Source organism: Homo sapiens, chromosome 7 (genome assembly GCF_000001405.40).
Source record: "Homo sapiens chromosome 7, GRCh38.p14 Primary Assembly".
NCBI lineage: Eukaryota > Metazoa > Chordata > Mammalia > Primates > Hominidae > Homo > Homo sapiens.
Window position 1 is genome coordinate 44,979,191 of NC_000007.14, and position 21,526 is coordinate 45,000,716.

At 49.2% G+C, this 21,526-nt stretch overlaps 1 protein-coding gene, 2 long non-coding RNA genes and 1 other non-coding gene across 16 annotated transcripts in view, besides 14 other annotated features; 1 reads left to right on the forward strand and 3 right to left on the reverse strand.

Moving 5' to 3' along the window:
* Positions 58–127: an enhancer, noted in NCBI's record as "active region_25959". NCBI's record gives its function as "activates an Ori minimal core promoter by ATAC-STARR-seq in GM12878 lymphoblastoid cells {active_cell/tissue: GM12878}" and the evidence as "EXISTENCE:reporter gene assay evidence [ECO:0000049][PMID:35858748]".
* Positions 158–207: an enhancer, noted in NCBI's record as "active region_25960". NCBI's record gives its function as "activates an Ori minimal core promoter by ATAC-STARR-seq in GM12878 lymphoblastoid cells {active_cell/tissue: GM12878}" and the evidence as "EXISTENCE:reporter gene assay evidence [ECO:0000049][PMID:35858748]".
* Positions 1,435–1,564: an enhancer, noted in NCBI's record as "active region_25961". NCBI's record gives its function as "activates an Ori minimal core promoter by ATAC-STARR-seq in GM12878 lymphoblastoid cells {active_cell/tissue: GM12878}" and the evidence as "EXISTENCE:reporter gene assay evidence [ECO:0000049][PMID:35858748]".
* Positions 3,833–7,506, reverse strand: SNHG15 (small nucleolar RNA host gene 15). 5 transcript variants are annotated; one of them, NR_003697.2, is made up of 5 exons: positions 7,335–7,506; positions 6,831–6,907; positions 5,167–5,236; positions 4,632–4,856; positions 3,833–4,132 (listed from the first exon to the last, which is right to left on the reverse strand). It is a non-coding gene; the product is annotated as a small nucleolar RNA host gene 15 (long non-coding RNA). The 5 variants fall into 5 exon arrangements; NR_152596.1 differs by having other exon boundaries at positions 6,692–6,907; NR_152594.1 differs by lacking the exon at positions 6,831–6,907.
* Positions 5,898–6,078: a silencer, noted in NCBI's record as "fragment chr7:45024687-45024867 (GRCh37/hg19 assembly coordinates)". NCBI's record gives its function as "represses an EF-1alpha promoter that drives an FKBP-Casp9 reporter gene in an ReSE screen in phorbol 12-myristate 13-acetate-treated (for megakaryocytic differentiation) K562 erythroleukemia cells {active_cell/tissue: K562(+PMA)}" and the evidence as "EXISTENCE:reporter gene assay evidence [ECO:0000049][PMID:32094911]".
* Positions 6,188–6,320, reverse strand: SNORA9 (small nucleolar RNA, H/ACA box 9). The gene has a single exon (NR_002952.1). It is a non-coding gene; the product is annotated as a small nucleolar RNA, H/ACA box 9 (small nucleolar RNA).
* Positions 6,605–7,351: an enhancer, noted in NCBI's record as "NANOG-H3K27ac-H3K4me1 hESC enhancer chr7:45025394-45026140 (GRCh37/hg19 assembly coordinates)". NCBI's record gives its function as "activates a minimal SCP1, AML or CMV promoter by ChIP-STARR-seq in primed H9 embryonic stem cells {active_cell/tissue: H9 hESC(primed)}" and the evidence as "EXISTENCE:reporter gene assay evidence [ECO:0000049][PMID:30033119]".
* Positions 7,197–7,316: an enhancer, noted in NCBI's record as "active region_25962". NCBI's record gives its function as "activates an Ori minimal core promoter by ATAC-STARR-seq in GM12878 lymphoblastoid cells {active_cell/tissue: GM12878}" and the evidence as "EXISTENCE:reporter gene assay evidence [ECO:0000049][PMID:35858748]".
* Positions 7,352–8,099: an enhancer, noted in NCBI's record as "NANOG-H3K27ac-H3K4me1 hESC enhancer chr7:45026141-45026888 (GRCh37/hg19 assembly coordinates)". NCBI's record gives its function as "activates a minimal SCP1, AML or CMV promoter by ChIP-STARR-seq in naive H9 embryonic stem cells {active_cell/tissue: H9 hESC(naive)}" and the evidence as "EXISTENCE:reporter gene assay evidence [ECO:0000049][PMID:30033119]".
* Positions 11,751–12,305: an enhancer, noted in NCBI's record as "H3K27ac-H3K4me1 hESC enhancer chr7:45030540-45031094 (GRCh37/hg19 assembly coordinates)". NCBI's record gives its function as "activates a minimal SCP1, AML or CMV promoter by ChIP-STARR-seq in primed H9 embryonic stem cells {active_cell/tissue: H9 hESC(primed)}" and the evidence as "EXISTENCE:reporter gene assay evidence [ECO:0000049][PMID:30033119]".
* LOC102723334 (uncharacterized) lies at positions 12,504–20,818 on the reverse strand. Of its 3 annotated transcripts, XR_927229.3 has the most exons (5): positions 20,528–20,818; positions 20,090–20,183; positions 19,163–19,327; positions 15,839–15,954; positions 13,423–13,659 (listed from the first exon to the last, which is right to left on the reverse strand). It is a non-coding gene; the product is annotated as an uncharacterized LOC102723334 (long non-coding RNA). The 3 variants fall into 3 exon arrangements; XR_428139.4 differs by lacking the exon at positions 19,163–19,327 and having other exon boundaries at positions 12,504–13,659; XR_927230.3 differs by lacking the exons at positions 19,163–19,327; positions 20,528–20,818 and adding an exon at positions 20,393–20,464.
* Positions 15,740–15,789: an enhancer, noted in NCBI's record as "active region_25963". NCBI's record gives its function as "activates an Ori minimal core promoter by ATAC-STARR-seq in GM12878 lymphoblastoid cells {active_cell/tissue: GM12878}" and the evidence as "EXISTENCE:reporter gene assay evidence [ECO:0000049][PMID:35858748]".
* Positions 15,870–15,919: an enhancer, noted in NCBI's record as "active region_25964". NCBI's record gives its function as "activates an Ori minimal core promoter by ATAC-STARR-seq in GM12878 lymphoblastoid cells {active_cell/tissue: GM12878}" and the evidence as "EXISTENCE:reporter gene assay evidence [ECO:0000049][PMID:35858748]".
* Positions 15,960–16,019: an enhancer, noted in NCBI's record as "active region_25965". NCBI's record gives its function as "activates an Ori minimal core promoter by ATAC-STARR-seq in GM12878 lymphoblastoid cells {active_cell/tissue: GM12878}" and the evidence as "EXISTENCE:reporter gene assay evidence [ECO:0000049][PMID:35858748]".
* Positions 16,040–16,089: an enhancer, noted in NCBI's record as "active region_25966". NCBI's record gives its function as "activates an Ori minimal core promoter by ATAC-STARR-seq in GM12878 lymphoblastoid cells {active_cell/tissue: GM12878}" and the evidence as "EXISTENCE:reporter gene assay evidence [ECO:0000049][PMID:35858748]".
* Positions 20,278–20,327: a silencer, noted in NCBI's record as "silent region_18161". NCBI's record gives its function as "represses an Ori minimal core promoter by ATAC-STARR-seq in GM12878 lymphoblastoid cells {active_cell/tissue: GM12878}" and the evidence as "EXISTENCE:reporter gene assay evidence [ECO:0000049][PMID:35858748]".
* Positions 20,556–21,526, forward strand: part of CCM2 (CCM2 scaffold protein) — a 76,725-nt gene continuing 75,754 nt past the window's right edge. For 6 of the 7 annotated variants that reach the window (NM_001363458.2, NM_031443.4, NM_001167935.2 and 3 more), the window contains exon 1: positions 21,011–21,173. In NM_001363458.2, the coding sequence (NP_001350387.1) occupies positions 21,144–21,173 (30 nt within the window). In that variant the 5' untranslated portion in view covers positions 21,011–21,143. Of the gene's footprint in view, positions 20,668–21,010; positions 21,174–21,526 lie in introns of those variants that run through there. The other variant, NR_030770.2, reaches the window with a different exon arrangement.
* Positions 20,958–21,487: a silencer, noted in NCBI's record as "silent region_18162". NCBI's record gives its function as "represses an Ori minimal core promoter by ATAC-STARR-seq in GM12878 lymphoblastoid cells {active_cell/tissue: GM12878}" and the evidence as "EXISTENCE:reporter gene assay evidence [ECO:0000049][PMID:35858748]".

The following is a 21,526-nucleotide window of genomic DNA, read 5'->3' on the forward strand; positions in this document are numbered from 1 at the left end:
GCCCCACAAGGAGGCTGTGCCTAACGGTCTGACCCGTTTGCACGCCAGGGGCGAGGGGCCGGATGCTGGGTCCTCCCCGCTTTGGAGGGTTCTTCGCTGGCCTCCTTCGGAAGCTCCCCTCCACCCACAAGCAGGAGACAAGACTCCGTGGGTTGGCTTCCAACCCTGGCAGCACGTTAGAGTCACTTGTGGGACTTTAAAGAAAGATTTTTTGACGTGATCTTGGTTACCTGGCTGTGTGTGTCTCTCAAGTCAGAACTGAACACTAGATGCAATATACTGTATGTACATTGTACATTAATACAAAAATGAAAAAGGATCCTAATGCCCAGGCCTTTGGGGTGGGGGCAACAGCCTTCTTTGCAGTGTGAAGGCCACACTGGGGTGTAGACGAGCAAAGCTTCTTGTGTGACCTGCCAAGGGCCAGTGGTCCTAGCACTGCAATTCCCCACCCCAGCCACGGGGGAGGGACAGAGGACCCCAGAGCATCCTCTGCATGGGGCTGGCCTTCAGTGGGACCCCTGTGCCCCTAACTGTCCTCTGCCTTGTACTTGTGTCCAGCCGATCCCCCATAAACTGCAGTGAGGACCAGGAACATGCCTGGAGCCCTGTGGCCTCATCTCAGAGCTGCTGTCCCTGCACTTTGAAGATGAGGCAGCGCATTTGGGGAGCGGCTGCATTTAGGGAGTGGCCAAAATCTCCAGACACTGCATTCCTGACACTTAGTGCTCCTGGAAGAAGTGGGAGGGGTGCAGTTCTCTTAGCTTCCAGGCAGACTGGAAAAAGTTCTTTTTCATCCCAGGACAGACTGGGGCAGGTCACACCCATCCTCTAGGAACACTGGGGCGATTCTCTCATCAAAGGTCAAATGGATGCAGTTCTCTCTCATCCTACAAATAGACTGGTGACATTTCTCTTTCACCCCTTCCCTCATACAGGGAGGTCAAAGGGCAGACTCCAGAATTCCCAAACTTCAGTCATTCATGTGCTGCCTTTGAGATTTGTTGTACTCATAAGCACTAGTTTAACTATTGTCTTTCAGTCATCCCATTTTTTAAACTTTGAAGTAATGGATAGGCAAGTTAAGTTTATTTTTTTCTCTCGAATACCTTAAAGCAAATGCATTCCTGATAAAACTGAAAGTACTTATTCAAGTACCTAATAAAACTGAGTCACGCACCACTGCAATAAGGGGCCACTGGCCTGAAAAATCCCCAAATTTGTAAGTGGGCAGCCTCTGGCTCCACCCTGGGCCAGACCTGGGGCTCCTCTTGGGCAAATTCAAAGTCAGTCCTTCGGAACTCTGACAAGTGTGGCCTCCTCCCCACCCCCAGGCTCTTGGGCTGGTGCTTTTGAAGGGTTTCCCAAACCTACACTCAAGTCTGGGAATTCTCACCCAGACTCTTGCCAGCTCATCTGTCTTTTCAAGTTTCACTTCCCCAACCCCCAGGGAGTCAAGCCAACCAGTGGAACCAAGATGGCTGTATTCCAGTAAAACGTTAAGGACACCGAAATCTGAACTTCGCAAACTTTTCATCTGTCACGTAATCATACTATTTTGGGTATTTCCCCCACCACTAACCACTTAAAAATGTCAAGACCACTCTTAGCTCAGAGATTTGGCTGGTGGGAGGAGTTTGCCCGCCCTTGCTTTAGCTGCTGCTGGTTGCTGGGACCCTGGGCGTCCTTCCTTGGTAGTTTGCACAAATTTGCCATGCATTGCCTCATTTGATTCTCATGACACATGTAGGAGTTACTGTTATTTTCATTTTACATATATTAAAACCGAGGCTGAGATGACATCACTACAAAGGAAGTTCCCTCCTGGGTCAACAGACCTCTGGGCCCTTATAGCACTGAATTCAGTGGGTCCTACTCAAATCCCAGGGAAAAGTCGGTCAGTCAGAGTCACGGCCTGGTCCTCAGAAGGGAGGACAAATGGTAGCTCTATCTGCAGCTTCCCCAGGGCATGCTCCTTACAGGGTATGACTGGTAGAACAGGTAGATGAACAAAGGCAGAGGCTCCTAATGGAAGGACAGCAAGGAGGGGCCACCACCAACTCAAGCCTGGCAGGGGCTGAGGAAACCATCCTGGCCCCAGTGAGTTTCCCTCTCATTATCTCATCTGGATCAGTTTCACAATGCCTGCCTCCACCAGGGCTCCTACGGCTGCACCTGCAGGTCCCTTGCCCTCACCCTCCTCGTTGCAACCTTCAAATCCCAGGCTTGCTCTGTTGGTGCTGACCTTGCAGCAAATCCCCAGCCCCAGAAAAATGTCCCCTTTCAGGGGAGTTGCTTTTTCGGCTCTACACAACTGTACCATAACTTAGTATTTCTATTAAAAATTTTTTTTTTTTACCTCATCTGAGGTGATACCATTGGGCTAATTGTAGGGGAATGGCTCTACCTAGGGGTATACTCTCATAGGCCACAGGCCACACAGCTCAACTGAGCCTCCTGGAACTGAGAGTGGAGGCCTAGGAGGCGCTGCCACAAGGCCAGCTCCATTCCCCGCTCCATCCTTCTGGGAGGCTATCAGGAGTTACTGTCTCCTGGGATTTTTTTTCTAAGCAGGGATGTGAGACTTCCGGTTCGTACCCCACTCCCCCCATGGTATAGCTGCAGACTAGACAATCTGCTCAGCTGCAGTCTAGAATTGGCTCCTCAACAAGGGGAGATGCTGTGCCTCCTGTTGCAGGCCCCTTTGGGTGCTTTTCCATTCACTGTCAGTAGTAAATTGGATGTAAGTCACTGGAGGCTGGGTGTGGTGGCTCACGTCTATAATCCCAGCACTTTGGGAGACTGAGACAGGTGGATCACCTGAGGTCAGGGAGTTCGAGACCAGCCTGACCAACATGGTAAAACCCCACGTCTACTAAAAATACAAAAATTAAGGCATGGTGGCATATGCCTGTAATCCCAGCTACTTAAGAGGCTGGGACAGGAGAATCGCTTGAACTCGGGAGGTGGAGGTTATGGTGAGCTATCATGCCACCGCACTCTAGCCTGGGCGACAGAGCAAGACTTCGTCTCAAAAAAAAAAAAAAAAATGCTGGGCCTGGTGGCTCACGCCTGTAATCCTAGCACTTTGGGAGGCTGAGGTGGGTGTATCATGAGGTCAGGAGTTCCAAGACCAGCCTGGCCAAGATGGTGAAACCCCGTCTCTACTAAAAATACAAAATTAGCTGGGCATGGTGGTGGGCGCCTGTAATCCTAGCTACTTGGGAGGCTGAGGCAGGAAAATCACTTCATCCGGGAGGCAGACGTTGCAGTGAGCTGAGATCATGCCACTGCACTCCAGCCTGGATGACAGAGACTCCATCTCAAAAAAAAAAAAAAAGTCACTGGTACTTTAATGGCTCTATTTGTCAGGGCTTGGCCTGGCCTGCTGCAACATTCCTTGACAACATCCCCAATACCAACATGGGGCACATCACACATATTAAGGGTATTACTTCTGTAACTTGTTTGAATGCTTAGGTGAATACCTAAGACTATCTGATGAGACAGAATGTCTTATCGAGCCAACCATCAAATGCTCCTGGAAGGTAAAGCTCCTGATGACAGTGCCTTTGTGCACCATCACCTCACTGTAGAACTCAGCCAGTTGGCCTTGGCTTGTGAACTCTCACCACAGCTTGCCACTGTCAGTTGAAACTGGTGGCACATGCACATAAGATGATCAGAGTTCCAAGTGGCTATCTACAAGCATGAGCATTGAGAATGGTGAAATACTTGGGGATCCCTTGGACTTAGCTGACAACTCCTTCAAGAAGACGCAGGGTCTTCCTATCTTTGCATCTGGCATATGTAAAAAACAGGCAAGACTAAATCACATATTTAAATCCATATTTATTAAATATCCCTTGTTTTTCATTCAGGAGATACCAGAAGGGCCCAGGTCCTGGTGCACAGCAAAGCTTCTCATTCTGGAAGCAGAGAACCTGGCACCCAAACCTAGGGCCAGAGGTCTGTCTGCCAGACCCACAGCCCAGGCCCAGAACTGGAAATTCCTGACTCCTTCCAGAAGGGCAACAAGCGAGGTTTCAAACTTGCTCAATTAAGGTGCCAAGGCTTGCATTCAAATTCAGCTCCACTCCTCACTAGGTGTATTAACACAGGCAGGCCTCATCTGTAAAAATGAGATGAGAAACACTTCAGAGACCTGTTGTGAAAATTAAGTGACATAATTGACACAACTAGGGATTATTACAAACCCCTGTTGCCATCGGTGGCAACAACAGAACTGAACCCTACTTACCAACTCCTGAACCCACTCCCACCATGAGCTGAGAGGCCTGTGACCAACCTCAGTGGCAGCCCATGCCCTTTCCAGGGGCTGAAACACTGGCCACTGACCTAAGGTAACTCCGGAGAAAAGACTATATATGTTGAAACCAAATCACAAAAGCAGTAAAATACCACCCTCAAGAATCAGGGTTCATGAGTCCAAACACTAGACAACTGTTTGTCCCAAAATAGTATTGTGAGCTTGAAGACAATGAACCTTTCTGGGATTCAATCACCTGACTTACCATACGGGAAGGTCAAAATACTTTTCATTAGCCAGGTGACTCTAAATAAAACAGGAGTGAAGTGACTTGCCAGGTCAGACCTTCCTGCACACTTACCCCTGCACAGGTTCCAAGGAACAGCCTGGCAGCCACTGAAGGTATCTTCTCTCAGGTCAGGTCCCCTCTAGCTCCAGCATCTTGGGATTGCTGCTGTAGAAACACTGACGGATGGCAGGCACTCTTGTGCCATGTGCTGGGTCAGGGACACAGAGTGAAGCCACTGGTGAGAGGTGGCTGTCAGGAACTGGCAGCTAACACGGTCGCCTCCCAGTTTCATGGACACTGGTAGAAAATACAAAATTCCTCGATTAGGGACAAGGGACCACTGATTATTCAAAACAATAGCAATAGCCAGAGCATCAGCATTTTCCACCACCCTCCCAAGCCCCAGTTCCCATAGGGGAGTCAGAGGCACCTGCATGAGCCATTGGACTACTACAAGAAAGGAGCGCAGGACTCTACCCTTTCACAACGCACAGCAAGAATGCCTGCCCTCTGCTCTGGAAGAAGGTACTAACCTCTTACCTTCCAAGGTGGTAGAACATGCTTGAAAAGATAGTAAGTGAAAAGGGGTAGCCAGTGCTTTACTCACAAGACTGCTTGAACATGAGACTCAAGGAGGGACCTCAGCAGGCCTGGGGTGTTCAGCAACTATTCCTGGCCTGAAAAGACAGAATCAGCTGAAAGCCTCTACCTTTAAGAGAGGTGACCCCACCACCCAGAGGAACACAGGAGCTGTGCTGCTCGTGCTATGCTCAAGCCAGCAACACTCTTCTCATCCCAGCCAGTCCTTTAACACACCTAACACCAAGACAAGAACTTGAAGGCATCCATCTCCTTCCCATCCAAACTTCCCACCGGCTTCTATATTCCACTCAGGATGCAGGGTTAGAGAGGCCTGGCATCAAACCCTGATCTGCTGGTTTGTGGCTGGGCAACCCTGGACACATAATTCTGACCTTGGGCCCCTCATCTGTACTGAACTTAAAAACGACCTCATGATGATACCTCAAAGATTTAAAACAATTAAGAGGTCTGGCGCAAAATAGGTGTTCAACATTAGCACCTTCCTCTTCCATGAGTTTTTCCTTTAAGATGAGCACACATTGACCTCACCCTCCACTAGCTCCTGGGGCACTCAGCTCCTCTGCAGAACTGAGACTTTGGTTCTCTTTGCTTTGCCTTGTAAATATCCTATTCCATGAGTCTCTCAGGGCAGGACTCTTCCCTGTTATTCCTCTTCACTGTTTCAACTCCTACCCTTACCACCACTCTTGGCTTCATCCTCAACTTTTATAAGACTTTTGCTTTAAGTGTATAATAAAATAAAATTTGTACTGAGCCTGGAGCACAGCAAACACTCAGGATTCCCTTCACCTTTCACACCAGCATTGTCCAAAACAACTTCCACAGCGACAGAAATGCCCTCTAATCTGTGCGGTCCAATATGGTAGCCACTGGCCACCTGTGGCTACTGATCATCTGAAATGTGGCTAGTGTGAAAATGAAATAAAACTCCAAATTTAATTTAATCATGTGTGCCAAGTGGCTACCACATTAGATGGCACGGATCTATACAAGGCCCAGGACACTAGATCCAGGAGGGAGGAAGTCATTGTCTGAAATTTCTATAACCTTGCTCTGGATGGAGCAGGGCAAGGCCTCAAACCGTTTCAAAACTGTTCTAGCAAGCACTGAAGGAATGCATAGGGTCACCGCAGACCCAAGCACGCTGGAGGCTTGCTACCCTCATTCACCCAAATCCCCCACACTCAAGGAATCTGGCAGTCCACTCTCACTAAGCACCAGTCCCTGCTGGGGGCTGTGGGAAGAGACCAGAGTTCAATTAGGCACCTGAGCTTGGTTCCAGGAGCCCAGAGCTACTAATGACTCTCAGGGAAAGATCCTTTCTGGCTGAGGAAGAAGGGAAGGTGTCTTGGAAGAGATAACCTTATTAAATTATTAAATAGATCAGACAACACGAACTAAACTTCCACATTATTCTATGACACTACAATTCTAGCATGGCTTTTCACTGTGACCAGAAACATCCTTATCATCATGTAGTTAATATAAATACTGCCTTTTCCCCTTCATTTTTTTCTCATGTATCTTACGGCTCAGAAATCACTTCTGAAGGAGTAAGTAGACCAGGCACATGAAGTAGATTTCATTTTCCCCATGAAATAATGGTTCAGAGAAAACGCAGGCCTAGTTCCAGGAAGGCAGAGTTGGGGTCTCTGCAACGTGATTTACCGGGGCATCTTGCAAAGGAGTTGCTGTGACAGTAAGCTCTTCCACTTTGAGACCGTCACCTCAGCCACGGCTCCCACCTAGAAGGGAACAAATGCAGTTAGCTCCAAACGCAGTTAGCTTCAGCTTGTGCCTCTGAACCATTATCCAGCTCTAGCTCCTTGCAACGCCTGGCCCACTCTACAGCCTCTCTTGCGGCAGGTCTACACGCCACCCCATGCCTTCCGGTGAGGTCCCTCCTGACCACACGTCCCATCCCACCTACTGGGGTCCACCCAGGTCATGCAGAAGCCCCACTTCTCGGCTGAAAGAGAAGCACGAGGTTACTCATCAAGTAATCCCCGAGTCTCCTCCGGGTAAAATGTTCCGAACGCGCTCAACCGCCTCTTGAGAGGAAGTAGCACGTGTAGTGAAGGCTTGGTCTCCAAGAATCACTGGTGCCCCCACTCACTGCGGCCCAGCCTCCCACGCCGCCCGCCACTGAACCCAATCCCCCAGGACCCCTACCTGGGCTCAGGAATGGTCAGGCAACACGTGGGGCCCAGGATGGCGGTGGATGACTAGACTGCCGAAGACCGCGCCGCTGCGACTACGAAGTACGGAGTACGGAGTACAGGTCTGCCAGCCAAGACTGACGCCGCGCGCTGCGCCGCGCACCTCGACGTCACCGCGTAGTCCCGCCCCGAAGCCGTGCGTGGCCGGGGCCACAGCGTTTGGGGTAGATGACGTCACGCGGCCGCGGGCGCTCGCTTGGTAGGGTGTGCTGGGGCGTAGAGTTTAGGGTCCTGAGGCTGCGTCTGCGTGTCAACTCAGTGGAGTCTCTCGACCGCCCTTTGTTACCCTCCTTTAGTGACCAGAAGGCTGGAGTTACGTAATCTGCCCCTACAGCTAAAAGGACGGAGGCCTGACGGCGTGGCCTGGAGGGACGCGCTGAGCCCCTAATGGGTGGTGCCTTCCTGGTGCGGCCGCACAGGCGGGGCCGGGCGGAATCCAAGCACGATGTGGACACGGAGCCTTGGGAATGAACAGGAGCCTGCCTGTGGGAGCATGTGGGAAAGGTGATGCAGGTGGAAGGGCAAATACAAATTATACATAGGGTTTAATTTTCCCTGAGGAAAAGAAGGGACGAGAAACCATCCCCCTCCCTTTTTCTTTCAAAATTTCAGCCTCTCTCCTTTCCAAATGTACTCAAGTCTTTTTCTTATATGGCCAGGTTCAACTCAGGAATGTTTCTTGGGAGCCATCTCCTTGAAGTGTAATTGTTGGCTGGGTGCGGTGGCTCACGCCTGCAATCCCAGCACTTTGGGAGGCTGAGGCGGGCGGATCACAAGATCAAGAGATCGAGACCATCCTGGCCAACATGGTGAAACTCTGTCCCTACTAAAAATACAAAAATTAGCTGGGCATGGTGAAGCGTGCCTGTAGTACCAGCTACTCGGGAGGCTGAGGCAGGAGAATCGCTTGAACCCGGGAGGCGGAGGTTGCAGTGAGCCGACATAGCACCACTGCACTCCAGCCTGGAGACAGAGCGAGACTCTGTCTCAAAAACAAAGAAAGAAAAAAATGCAATTGTTAAGGGACGAAAGGGCCAAGAGTCCAGCTTCTTAGGAGGACAAAGGCTTAACTTGGCACCTGACTCCAAATTGCAAAACCTACATAATGTGATGGGCTATCTCTACTTAGCTGCATAGAAAAAGTGAGTTTCTGTCTTTGTGTTGCCTTTAGCAGGTTGCATGTGATGTACGGCATCACAATCTGGTTTAATACTTATTCAGTAATGGTTTTCTGTCTCTTCTACCTTTGTGGAGAGGTTTCATGGGTTGGGAGGAAACTACTCTCCACCCCCCACCCACCCCCAGGCAGAGGAAAGCACATTGAAAGGTCCTGAAATTGGGAAGGACATGGTTTGCTGGTGATACAGCTAAGTATTACAAGTTTGTAGTGTTCTGGAAGGGTCTCAATGAGGAGCGGGAGATAAGGACGATGTGTTCAAGGGTCTTGAATGATCAGGCTAGAAAAGTGAGAACGTGGTTCTATAAGTAAAAGCAGAGCAGTGCTTGAAACTCGTATTTTATGTATTGCACCTAGTAAATACATTCAATCACTTTACAGTATACAAATCCCATACTTCACTAAGTGTCAAAACCCTAACAGACAGATAAGGCAGAACTGTTACTTCCAGATTACTAACGTGGAAACTAAGCCCCACCCAAACAAGTTAAGTGGTTTGTTCAAGACCTCCTACAACAGGCTGGGCGCGGTGGCTTATGCCTGTCATCCCAGCACTTTGGGAGGCCGAGGCGGGGAGGCGGGTGGATCACCTGAGGTCAGGAATTTGGGGCTAGCCTGACTGACATGGAGAAACCCGGTCTCTACTAAAAATACAAAATGAGCCGGGCGTGGTGGTGCCTGCCTGTAATCCCAGCTACTTGGGAGGCTGAGGCAGGAGAATTGCTTGAACCCAGGGGGCGGAGGTTGCGGTGAGCCGAGATCGCGCCATTGCACTCTAGCCTGGACAACAAGAGTGAAACTCCATCTCAAAAAAAAAAAAAAAAAAAAGGACCTCCTACAACAGCCAGGGCCTGGTGCAGGTTGTCCTAGCACAGGGTTCACTGGTCTGTCCATTCTGCCACTGCTATGAGATTGTAATGGCCCAACAGGTTCACCTTGCCTGCTGCCTAGGCAGAACCAATTTATCAAGACAGGTGAATTGCAATAGAGAAAGAATAATTCATGCAGAGCCAGCTGTGTGGGAAACTGGGACTTTTTTTATTACTCAAATGAGTCTCCCCAAGCATTTGGAGGTCACAGTTTTTAAGGATAATTTGGAGGGTGGGTGGCATCCAGTGAGTCAGGAGTGCTGATTGATCGGGTCAGAGATGAAATCATAGGGAATTGAAGCTGTCTTGTGCTTGAGTCAGTTCCTGGGTGGGGGCCACAAGATCTGATGAGCCAGTTTATCGATCTGGGTGGTGCCAGCTGATCCATCCAGTGCGAGGTCTGCAAAATATCTCAAGCACTGATCTTAGACTTCAGTGATGTTATTCCCGGGAGCAATTTGGGGAGGGTCAGAATCCTGTAGCCTCTAGCTGCATGACTCCTAAATCATAATTTCTAATCTTTTGGCTAATTTGTTACTCCTACAAAGGCATTCTGGTCCCCAGGCAAGATGGGGGTTTGTTTTGGGAAAGGGCTATTATTGTCTTTCTTTTAAACTATAAACTAAGTTCCTCCCAAAGTTAGTTCAGCCTACACTCAGGAATGAACAAGGACAGCTTGGAAGTTAGAAGCAAGATGGAGTTGGTTCGGTCAGATCTCTGTCACTGTCTCAGTTATAATTTTGCAATGGTGGTTTCAAGATGATGAAAGAGTACTGGGAAAGTAAATAGCTACGAAGGGCCAGAGAAGGTGTGTTACTGAAGAAAGTGGGATCTCCCAAGGGACTCAAAGAGAAGAGCTTTTTAACACAGTGATAACCCCAAAAAATTCACTAGAGAAGTGGGGGATGCGGCCAGGCGCGGTGGCTCACACCTGTATTCCCAGCACTTTGGGAGGCTGAGGTGAGCGGATCACCTGAGGTCAGGAGTTCCAAGACCAGCGTGGCCAACATGGTGAAACCCCGTCTCTACTAAAAATACAAAAATTAGCTGGGTGTGGTAGTGCATGCCTGCGGTCCCAGCTACTCAGGAGGCTGAGGCAGGGGAATCGCTTGAACTCAGGAGGTGGAGGTTGCAGTAAGCCGAGATGGCGCCACTGTACTCCAGCCTGGGTGACACAGCGAGACTCCAGCTCAAAAACAAACAACAAAGAGCCAGGCGTGGTGGCTCACACCTGTAATCCCAATACTTTGGAAGGCAGGTTAGGAGTTCAAGAGCAGGCTGGCCAACATGGTGAAACGCCATCTCTACTAAAAATACAAAAAATTAGCCGGGCATGGTAGCACACGCCTGTGATCCCAGCTACTTGGGAGGCTGAGGCAGGAGAATTGCTTGAACCTGGGAGGCAGAGGTTGCTTGAACCCAGGAGGCAAAGCCAAGTTTGTGCCATTGCACTCCAGCCTGGGCAATAGAGTGAGACTCTGTCTCAGAAAAAAAAGAGAAGGGGAGATGCTTACTTATTATCAAAGTAATTAGAGGCCAGACATCGTGGCCTGTAATCCCAGCACTTCAGGAGGCTCAGACAGGAGGATTGCTTTAGCCCAGGAGTTCAAGACCAGCTTGAGCAACATCACAAAACCCGTCTCTACAAAAAGTTTAAAAATTAGCCAGTCATGGTGGCGTCCGCTGATAGTCCCAGCTACTCAGGAGGCTGAGGTGGTGGGAAGATCACTTGAGCCCCAGAGGTTGAGGCTGCAATGAGCTGTGATTATGCCAATGCATTCCAGCTTGGGTGACACACCCAGACCCCGTCTCAAAAACAAAACAAAAAAAACAAAATCTGAAAGGATGCCAAAACATAAAAATCACATTATCAGTTTAATTGTGATTTTGCTGGGAAACTGCATGAGACTGGCACAAAGAGAGAAACATGACAGCAGTATTTTAACTGCTTATCAGAATACTAAAAATAACTTTCTTCAAACCCACATCTCAAATGAGTAATTCCATTGTTCTTCCAGGCCAACTAGTGACGCACGATATTTTTCTTCTTAGTTCAGCTAAAATCTGGGCTCTTGTCTCCCGATCAGGAAAAATTAGGCACATGGACACATTGAAGGGTCAGAATGTATTAAGTGAAAAGAAAGCCCTTAGCAAAGAGGTGGTCCTGCCAACAGGCTCCTACTCCACAGACTGAATATCAGGCCACCATACTGGAGCTGAAGAAGCCCGGCTCCCCTGCATAAAGCATGAATTCCTGGTGGCTCCACCCCATTTCCCCAGTGCACATGTAGGCCTCTAATCTGAGCCACTCCACACTGATTTATTTCCCTTACTGCACATGTGTTAAGGGATAGAATTTTTCACTGTAGGCATGTTTAGGCAAGCCCCCTGTGCATAATGACCTGGATGGCATTTGGCTGTCTCCCGCCTCTATCAGTAGCATATTTAGGGGAGGAAAGATGAATTTTCTTGCTACCCTTCTAAATTCTCAGCTAGAGTCCTTGTAACAAAAGATAGATTTTTTTTTTTTGAGACAGGGTCTCACTGTGTCTCCCAGGCTAGAGCACAGTGGTGCTATCATGGCTCACTGCAACCTCCACACCCCCAGGCTCAAGTGATCCTCCCATCTCAGCCTCCCAAGTAACTGGGACTACAGGAGCTTGCCACAACACCTGGCTATTTATTTATTTATTTTTGAGACAGAGTCTTGCTCTGTCACCCAGGCTGGAGTGCAGTGGCATGATCTCGGCTCACTGCAACCTCTGCCACCCGGGTTCAAGCAATTCTCCTGCCTCAGCCACCCGAGTAGCTGGGATTACAGGCGCTTGCCACCATGCCTGGCTAATTTTTGTATTTTTAGTAGAGGCGGGGGTTTCACCATCTTGGCCACGCTGGTCTTGAACTCCTGACCTTGTGATCCACCTGCCTCGGCTTCCCAAAGTGCTGGGATTACAAGTGTCAGCCACTGCGCCTGGCCCTAATTTTTTAATTTTTTATTTCGTAGAGATGGGCTCCTGTCATGTTGCCCAGGCTGATCTCCAGCTCCTGGGTTCAAGCAATCCTCTTGCCTTGGCCTCCCAAGATGTTGGGATTATAGGCGGGAGCCACCATGCCCAGCTCAAAAGATTAACAGGAGAAAAACAAATGGAGCTATATTAACATGTATACTTTGCATATACATGTGAGATGCCCAAGAAAATGAGTAATTCTCAAAGGAGTGGCTTAGAATTCAGGTTTAAGTACCATCTTCAGCTAAAAACAAAGAAGGGAGTGAGGAAGGCCAGTTTTGGGAAAAAGACCCGGAGAAGCACACAAAACAAGTTGCTGCCTTCTCCATTGATAAGGGTCTCTGGTGATTTAGAGTCAACTTTCTCTTCCTGGTACAGAGAGGGAGACACCCTTACAAAGAGCGATTTCTTTTAAGACTGTGAGTTTCTCTTTTTTTTTTTTTAGTATTTATTGATCATTCTTGGGTGTTTCTCAGAGAGGGGGATTTGGCAGGGTCATAGGACAATAGTGGAGGGAAGGTCAGCAGATAAACATGTGAACAAGGGTCTCTGGTTTTCCTAGGCAGAGGACCCTGCGGCCTTCCGGTGTTTGTGTCCCTGGGTACTTGAGATTAGGGAGTGGTGATGACTCTTAACGAGCATGCTGCCTTCAAGCATCTGTTTAACAAAGCACATCTTGCACCGCCCTTAATCCATTTAACCCTGAGTGGACACAGCACATGTTTCAGAGAGCATGGGGCTGAGGGTAAGGTTATAGATTAACAGCATCCCAAGGCAGAAGAATTTTTCTTAGTACATAACAAAATGGAGTCTCCTGTGTCTACTTCTCTCCACACAGACACAGCAACAATCTGATCTCTCCTTCCTTTCCCCACATTTCCCCACTTTCTACTCGACAAAACCGCCATCGTCATCATGGCCCGTTCTCAATGAGCTGTTGGGCACACCTCCCAGACGGCCTGGCGGCCGGGCAGAGGGGCTCCTCACTTCCCAGACGGGGCGGCTGCCGGGCGGAGGGGCTCCTCACTTCTCAGACGGGGCGGCTGGGCAGAGACGCTCCTCACTTCCCAGACGGGGTGGTGGCCGGGGTGAATTTCTCTTTCAAAGGGGTAGCTTATGCTGTTTTCATAGCTTCTGTTTCTCAAAATTACTAGCTCAGAATAATCCTTAGGCCAAGGAGGCATATTTTGGGGTGGCATATTCTGGTCTCCTACAGATGTATGCCTGAAAAGAAAATTAGCAATTTGGCTCTAGAAGAATAAACAGTGTTAGCTAATGAGATGTCAAAATGGAACTTGCAAGGTTGCTTCCGTTGGGGGCCACACAGTGTGGCTGTATTTCTGAGGGGTCATTCTGATCCAGAGTTGATTTGGTCCTTCATGATTTATAGGCCTGGAAACTGGATATTAAAATTCACTGATAGTTCACTCTAATCAACTCTGAAGTGTCTTTCCTTCACTAATGAAGTCTATATGGTTTTATCATGTGCACAACAGTCAAAGTGTTGCATGTCATACGTCAAAGAATAACTCAGAGAAGGCCAGGCGCGGTGGTTCATGCCTGTAATCCCAACACTTTGGGATGCCAAGGCGGGTGGATCATGAATGAGGTCAGGAGTTCGAGACCAGCCAGGCCAATATGATGAAACCCTGTCTCTACTAAAAATACAAAAATTAGCAGGGCGTGGTGGCACACGCCTGTAGTCCCAGCTACTCGGGAGGCTGAGGCAGAAGAATCGCTTGAACCCAGGAGGCAGAGGTTGCAGTGAGCCAAGATTGTGCTACTGCACTCCAGCCTGGGCCACAGAGCGAGACTCTGTCTCAAAACAAACAAACAGAAATCAGAGACATCTAGTTAGTTATTTGCAAGCCAGTTCTCATATGAGGGAGACAACTGATAGACTCAAGGACAGATGGCTGAGAGGCACAATAAGAAAACAACTGCAGTCAGTTTCGAGACCAGTGAAAAGATTCACTTAAAAAAATTGGCTGGTTGGCTGGCTGCAGTGGCTCACACCTGTGATCCCGACACTCTGGGAGGCCGAGGCTGCTGGATCACCTGAGGTCAGGAGTTTGAGACCAACCTGGCCAACATGGTGATGGTGAAACCCTGTCTCTACTAAAAATACAAAAATTGGCTGGGTGTGGTGGTGCATGCCTGTAATCCTAGCTACTCGGGAGGCTGAGGCAGGAGTCACTTGAACCCAGGAGGTGGAGGTTGCGGTGAGCCAAGATCATGCCACTGCACTCCAGCCTGGGCAATAGAGCAAGACTCTGTCTCAAAAAAGAAAAAAAATTGGCTGGAAGGCTGGGCACAGTGGCTCATGCCTGTAATCCCAGCACTTTGGGAGGCCAAGACAGATGGATTGCATGAGTCCATGCGTTCAAGACCAGCCTGGGCAACATGGTGAAACCCTGTCTCTACAAAAAATACAAAAATTAGCCAGTGTGGTGGTGTGCATCTGTAGTCCCAGCTACTTGGGAGACTGAGGTGGGAGGATAGCTGGAGCCTGGGAGGTTGAGGGTGCAGTGAGTTGAGATGGTTCCACTGCATTCTAGCCTGGGTGACAGAGTGAGACCCTGTCTCAAAAAAAAAAAAAAAATTGGCTGAAATCTAGCAAAAATGCAAATCTGGGAACACTGTCTTTGAATAGGCCAATTAAGTGTAAATTTTCAGTGTTTAGGGGTTTTCTTAAAACCAGGGAAACATTACCTGAACAGGGCCTAGCTGGGAAGCATCTATGAGAAACTATGTTCAGGTAATGTTGCCAGTGCCCCTCCACCTCAGTCTGGCTCAGTGTACATAATTTCCCTTATTAGAGTTTATTTCAGATACAAGGAGGAATCCCACATAGTCCGTACCTTCAAAGGAGCTTATTCTAGTAGAGGAAATGTCCTAAACCTGGTTAACTCTAGCATCACAGACATACAGATACAGTTATCTGGAAACTGGAGGAGGGAAAAATTGCATCCAGAAATTTAGTGGAAGATGTGATTATTGAGCTGGGTCACAAAGCTCAACAGCCAAATTCACCAGCAGTCTAAAAGACTTGGGTTTAAGCCAGGCGCGGTGGCTCACACCTGTAACCCCAGCACTCTGGGAGGCCGAAGCAGGCAGATCACGAGGTCAAGAGATCAAAACCATCCTGGCCAACATGGTGAAACCCCGTCTCTACTAAAATACAAAAATCAGTTGGGCAAAAAGATTTGGGTTTATTAACCTACCATGACCAGGGAGAGCACCCCAGAGGAAGAAGGGCTGCTTCTCATTACGAGGGAATAGGAAGGGGACTTTGTAAGGTTTGGGCTGGCCCTGAGTAATTCTGAAGAGGGGACAAGGGGAAGTGAGTATCATGGCTATAAAGTTGCTTTCATGAAGTGTGGGCAGTTTAGTAATTGGGTACCTTGGTCGCTTTTGTTCAAGATGTAGGAGCCACACAACAGGCTGGGGAGGTTATTGGTAAGAAAGCAGTAATCATAAGTAGGTGGCTGTTAGGACACTTTACAGCCAAGGTGTGACCTGGAGAGAAAGAAAAGATTGTTTTATGTTATAATTGTCTCATTGGTGTCTGTTACGAGAGACTGAATATACAAATAGACAATGGCTGGACCATTTGTACAACTAGAACTCTGACTGACAACCTGCAGAAACCTCCTCAGGAAACCAATTCGTTATCTACAGCAACCAGCCCAGGAAACAAGCCTGCTGTAAGTCATACTTGCAGGAAGCCAGGTGTTATCTCTAGTGACAATCCAGGAGTAACTTTTCTAACAGCCCCCAAAGCCTAGGACTTAATTAATAACTGGCACCCTATCTCTCACCAGATACAAAAATCAACTCAAAATGGATTAAAGACTTAAACATAAGACCTGAAACTACAAAACTACTAGAAGAAAACATAGGGGAAATGCTTCAAGACATTGAACGAGGCAAAGATTTTATGGCTAAAATTTCAAAAGCATAGGCAACAAAACCAAAAATAGACAAATGGGACTATATTAAGCGAAACTAAAAAGCTTCTGCACAGCAATGGAAACAATCAACTGAGTGAAAAGACAACCTTTAGAATGGGAGAAAATATTTGCAAACTATTCATGCGGCAAGGGACTAATATCCAGAATATACAAGGAACTCAAACAACTTGACAGCAAAAAACCACAAATAATCCATTAAAAAGTGGGCGAAGAATCTGAGTAGACATTTCTCAAAAGAAGATGTACAAAAAACAAATAGGTACATATAAAAAAATACTCAATATCATGAGTCATCAGGGAAATGCAAATCAAAACCACAATGAGATACCATTTCACCCCATTTAGAATGGTTATTATCAAAAAGGCAAAAAATAAGGGTGTTGGCGCACCTGCAGTCCCAGCTACTTAGGAGGCTGAGGTGGGAGGATCCATTGAGCCCAGGAGCCCAGCTCCTTAGCTCAAGCTGCGGTGAGCTAAGATCATGCCACTGCACTCCAGCCTGGGTAACAGAGGGAAGCCCTGTCTCTAAAAAAAAAAAAAAGACAAAAAATAAGGTTGAGCGTGGTGACTCAAGCCTATAATCCCAGCACTTTGGGAGGCTGAGGCGCGAGGATTGCTTGAGCCCAGGAATTTGAGAGCAGCCTGGGCAACATAGAGACCTCATCTCTACAAAAAGTAAAAAAATTAGCCAGGTGTGATAGCAGACACCTGTGGTTCCAGCTACTGGGGAGGCTGAGGTGGGAGGATCTCTTGAGTCTATGAGATCAAGGCTGTAGTGAGCAGTGATCATACCACTGCACTCCAGCCTGGGTGACAGAGTGAGACCTCATGTCAAAAAAAATTAGTATATATACACAATAGAATACTATTTGGCCATAGGAAAAAAAAATGAAAATGTCATTTGCAGCAACATAAATAGAGCTAGAGGTCACTATGTAAGCCTGTAATCCCAATACTTGGGAGGCTGAAGTGGGAGGATGGCTTGAACCTAGGAGTTGGAGACCAGCCTGGGCAACATAGTGACCTCATCCCTGTAAATTTTTTTTTAAACAAAAAAACAAAGACAAGTATTGCATTTACTCACTCATATGTGGGAGCTAAACAAATATTCATCTCATTGAGATAGAGACTGGGATGATAGCCACCAGAGGCTGGGAAGGGTGTGTGTTGGGGGAAAGTAGGGGGCTGAAGAGAGGTTGGTTAGCGTGTACAAACATACAGCTAAATAGAAGCAATAATTTCTCATGGGTGTGTGTGTGTGTGTGTGTGTGTGTGTGTGTGTGAGACAGATCTGGCTTGTTGCCCAGGCTGGAGTGCAGTGGTGCAATGACAGCTCACTGCAGCCTCGACCTCCTGGGCTCAAGGACCCCACTTCAGGCCCCTGAGTAGCTGGGACCACAGGTGCACACCACTATGCCCAGCTAATTTTTGTATTTTTTGTAGAAGAAGGATCTCACTATATTGCCCAGGCTGGTCTCCAATTCCTGGGTTCACGTGATCTTCCCAGCTTAGCCTCTCCAAGTGCTCGGATTACGGGTTTGAGCCACCACACCCAGCCTAAATTCTAATGTTCCATAGCAGAGTAAGATGACTATAGTTAATAACAATGTACTGTATATTTCAGAATAGCTAGGAGAGATCTGAAATGTCTCCAACACAAAGAAATAAGTGTTCAGGTGACGAATATCCTAAATACCCTGATTTTATTATTACACATCATATGCATGTATCAAAATATCACATGTATTTTGGCCGGGTGCAGTGGCTCATGCCTGTAATCTCAGCACTTTGGGAGGCTAAGGTGGACAGATCACATGAGGCCAGGAGTTCGAGACCAGCCTGGGCAACATGGTGAAACCCTGTCTCTACTAAAAATACAGAAATTAGCCGGGCGTGGTAGTGGGCACCTGTAATTCCAGCTACTCCGGAGGCAGGAGAATCGCTTGAAACTGGGGGGTGGATGTTGCAGTGAGCTGAGATTGCACCACTGCACTACAGCCTGGGCAATACAGAGTAAGACTCTGTCTCAAAAAAAAAAAAAAAAAAAAAATTAGCCTGGTGTGGTGGTGCATGCCTGTAATCCCAGCTACTTGGGAAGCTGAGGCAGGAGAATTGCTTGAACCTGGGAGGCAGAGGTTGCAGTGAGCTGAAATCATGCCACTGCACTCCAGCCTGGGTGACAGAGTGAGACTCTGCCTCACACACACACACAAATCACATGTACCTCATAAATATGTACAATTATTATGTGTTAGCTGGGTGCGATGGCTCATGCCTATAATCCCAGCACTTTGGGAGGCTGAGGAGGGAGGATTGCTTGAGCCTAGGAGTTTGAGACCAGCCTGGGCAACATAGTGTGACCTTGTCTCAACAAAAATATACTAAAATTAGCCAGGCTTGGTGATGCGTCCTTGTAGTCCCAGCTACTTGGGAGGCTGAGATGGGAGGATTGCTTGAGCCCAGGAGGTTGAAGCTTCAGTGAGCCATGACTGCATCACTGCACTCTAACCTGAAGGACAGAGTGAGACTTTATCTCTAAAAATACAAAAGAAACAAAAAATTATTTGTCAATTAAAAAAAAACTGGCAGCTTTCCTAGTTTTCGGTCCTGCTTCCAGCTTAGGAGCAACCAGAGAAAGACAAATATGTGCCCCTAACCAATCACTTGGGATGCCCTGCCCCTTGCTTCCCCAGGCCAACAGCCTCAAATGAGGACATCCCTGGAGGCTTCCCTTTTTTCACTATAAAGCTTACCCACTCCTCTGCCTGACATTGAGTCTCATCCAAATACAAATGATGGTGGCTGACTCCCTTGTTATAGCAAGCTAACAGCCTTTTTGCTTTTCTCATTTTATTGTCTTTATTCCCAGTTATCACCATCTGATCATTAGCCAGTGGACTTTTGCTTGAAGCATGAACCTGTGTATGCAAAGACAGGGCAAAGGTATTCTGATGGATAAGAACAGCCTGAGGAAGTCAGCACATCCAGAGTTAGGCTAAGAGAAGTTTTAGTAGTGTTGTTTACTGTATTATGGAGTGATAAATATGCATTTGTGGAAGACGGTGGAAGACTTTAAATATCAGGCCTTTGTTCTGTGAATGGTGGGAAAATAATGACAACCAGATGCGCTACATCATTTGCGTGTGTAAATGTGGCAAGCTGGATTATTGCAGAAGGCAGATTGAAAGGGTGTTTCCACTATCTCTGCTTTATCTTGCAGAGAATGGAATACTTATGCCTTTGGAGAGGTCTAGAGACCAAGTATTTCTTTTGAATATCAGTATAACATAGGCCCAGTCAGGAGACAGAAACACAGTAAAGAAAAGTTTAATATAAAGAATTATTAGGCCGGGCGCGGTGGCTCACGCCTGTAATCCCAGCACTTTGGGAGGCCGAGGTGGGCGGATCACCAGGTCAGGAGATCCAGACCATGGTGAAACCCCGTCTCTACTAAAAATACAAAAATTAGCCAGGTGTGGTGGCTGGCGCCTGTAGTCCCAGCTACTCGGGAGGCTGAGGCAGGAGAACGGCGTGAACCCGCGAGGCAGAGCTTGCAGTGAGCCGAGATCCACGCCACTGGCACTCCAGCCTGGGCGACAGAGCAAGGCTCCGTCTCAAAAAAAAAAAAAAACCACCAAAAAAACACAGTTTACATTCTAGCTGTGCTACAAAGTTCTTACCGGCAGATTGGTTTAGTGGCAAAATAGCAGACCTGCTGGTGACTCCAATTTGTAGTGTGCTTTTGGGCGAATCACCTCATTCCCCGGACCTCATCTGGAAAATGTGGAAATTATACCGGATGACTGGTAAGGTTCTACGATTTTATTCTGATAGGGTCTGCACATCCTTGTGGTTGCACTTCTATTTTCCAAATGTGTTTGTCTAAGGCAGGCAGACTTTATAACAGAGAAGTACTAGAAAACGGATTCCCTGTGGCTCAGGGAATAAAGTGGGACACAAGAAAAAAGAAAACCGCACCGCACCCAGACTCTCGGCGGGACGCCCCGCCCCTCAACAGTGGCCGCCTCCTCGCGCCCCTCCTTCGCCATCTGCCGGCCGCGTCCCCTCCCGCCGGCCCCCGTCCCCCGTCCCCCGCCCCCCGTCCCCTTTTCAGAGACCTGAGCTCCGCCTCCCTGGACGCGAGGCAGGCTGGGAAGTCGGCCGCCGTAAAGATGGCGGCAAATTGAAAAAGTTGGAGCTGCTCCCGCGCGCGCTCCCGCGCGCGCTGAGTGGGCGGAGCGAACAGGGGGCTGGACAGGTGCGTTCTCGCGGCCGTGCAGAAGCGAAGTAGGGGTAGGAGCGTTTCCGGCTCTCCTGAAGGACGCGGGGCGGGGTGGGGGTGGTGCAAGGCAGGCGCGTTCTCGGCCGTCCTGAAGGGGCAGGATCTTCAGCCTGTGGGCGGTGCTCTCGCCGTGAGCGGGGCCAACGGGCCGTGTTCTCCCTGAAGGGGCGGGGTCTGATCGCTGCGGGTCGGATTCCCTTGGGCCTGAAAGTGAGGATGAGCGACAACCGTGGGCGGGGCCTGCGCTGGGGAAGGTGGGGCCTGGGCGGGGCGGAGGGGGCTCGGGCCCGGAAGTGCGGGTGTGGGGCGCGGCCGGGGCGGAGACTTCGGGCCCGGCTGGCGGGCGGCGCCGGGAGCGCGGGGGCGGCGGGCCCGGGTCGAGCATGTAGCGGCTGCTGGCGGCGGGGCTCCCGGGGCGGGCCGGGCGGGCCGCGGGAGCCGCACGCGGCGATATGGAAGAGGAGGGCAAGAAGGGCAAGAAGGTGAGCGTGCGCGGGGGCGTCCTACTGCTGTGGTCGGCGGGCGGCTGGGTTGAGGGGCCAGGGTGGGGTGGGCGGGTGTTCCTTGGGGCCCGGGGGGGGGGGCAGTGGGCCAGCTGGCGGGGCGGGGCGGGGCAGGGCGAGACCCCGGACAATGGTCAGGTGGGCTTTCGCGGCCGGGCGGGCAGGAAGCGCCGCGCCTTTCCTCTGGCCCGGGCAGCGGCTCGCCCCGACCTCGGCCCCAGACGGCCTTCCCTGCGCGTCGGGACCTGGGGCTGCAGAGGAAGTGGGCCCGGCGAGGGGCCAGAAAGCTGTCCAGGGCTGGAACTGGAGCTAGTGGGCTGTGTGGTTAACGT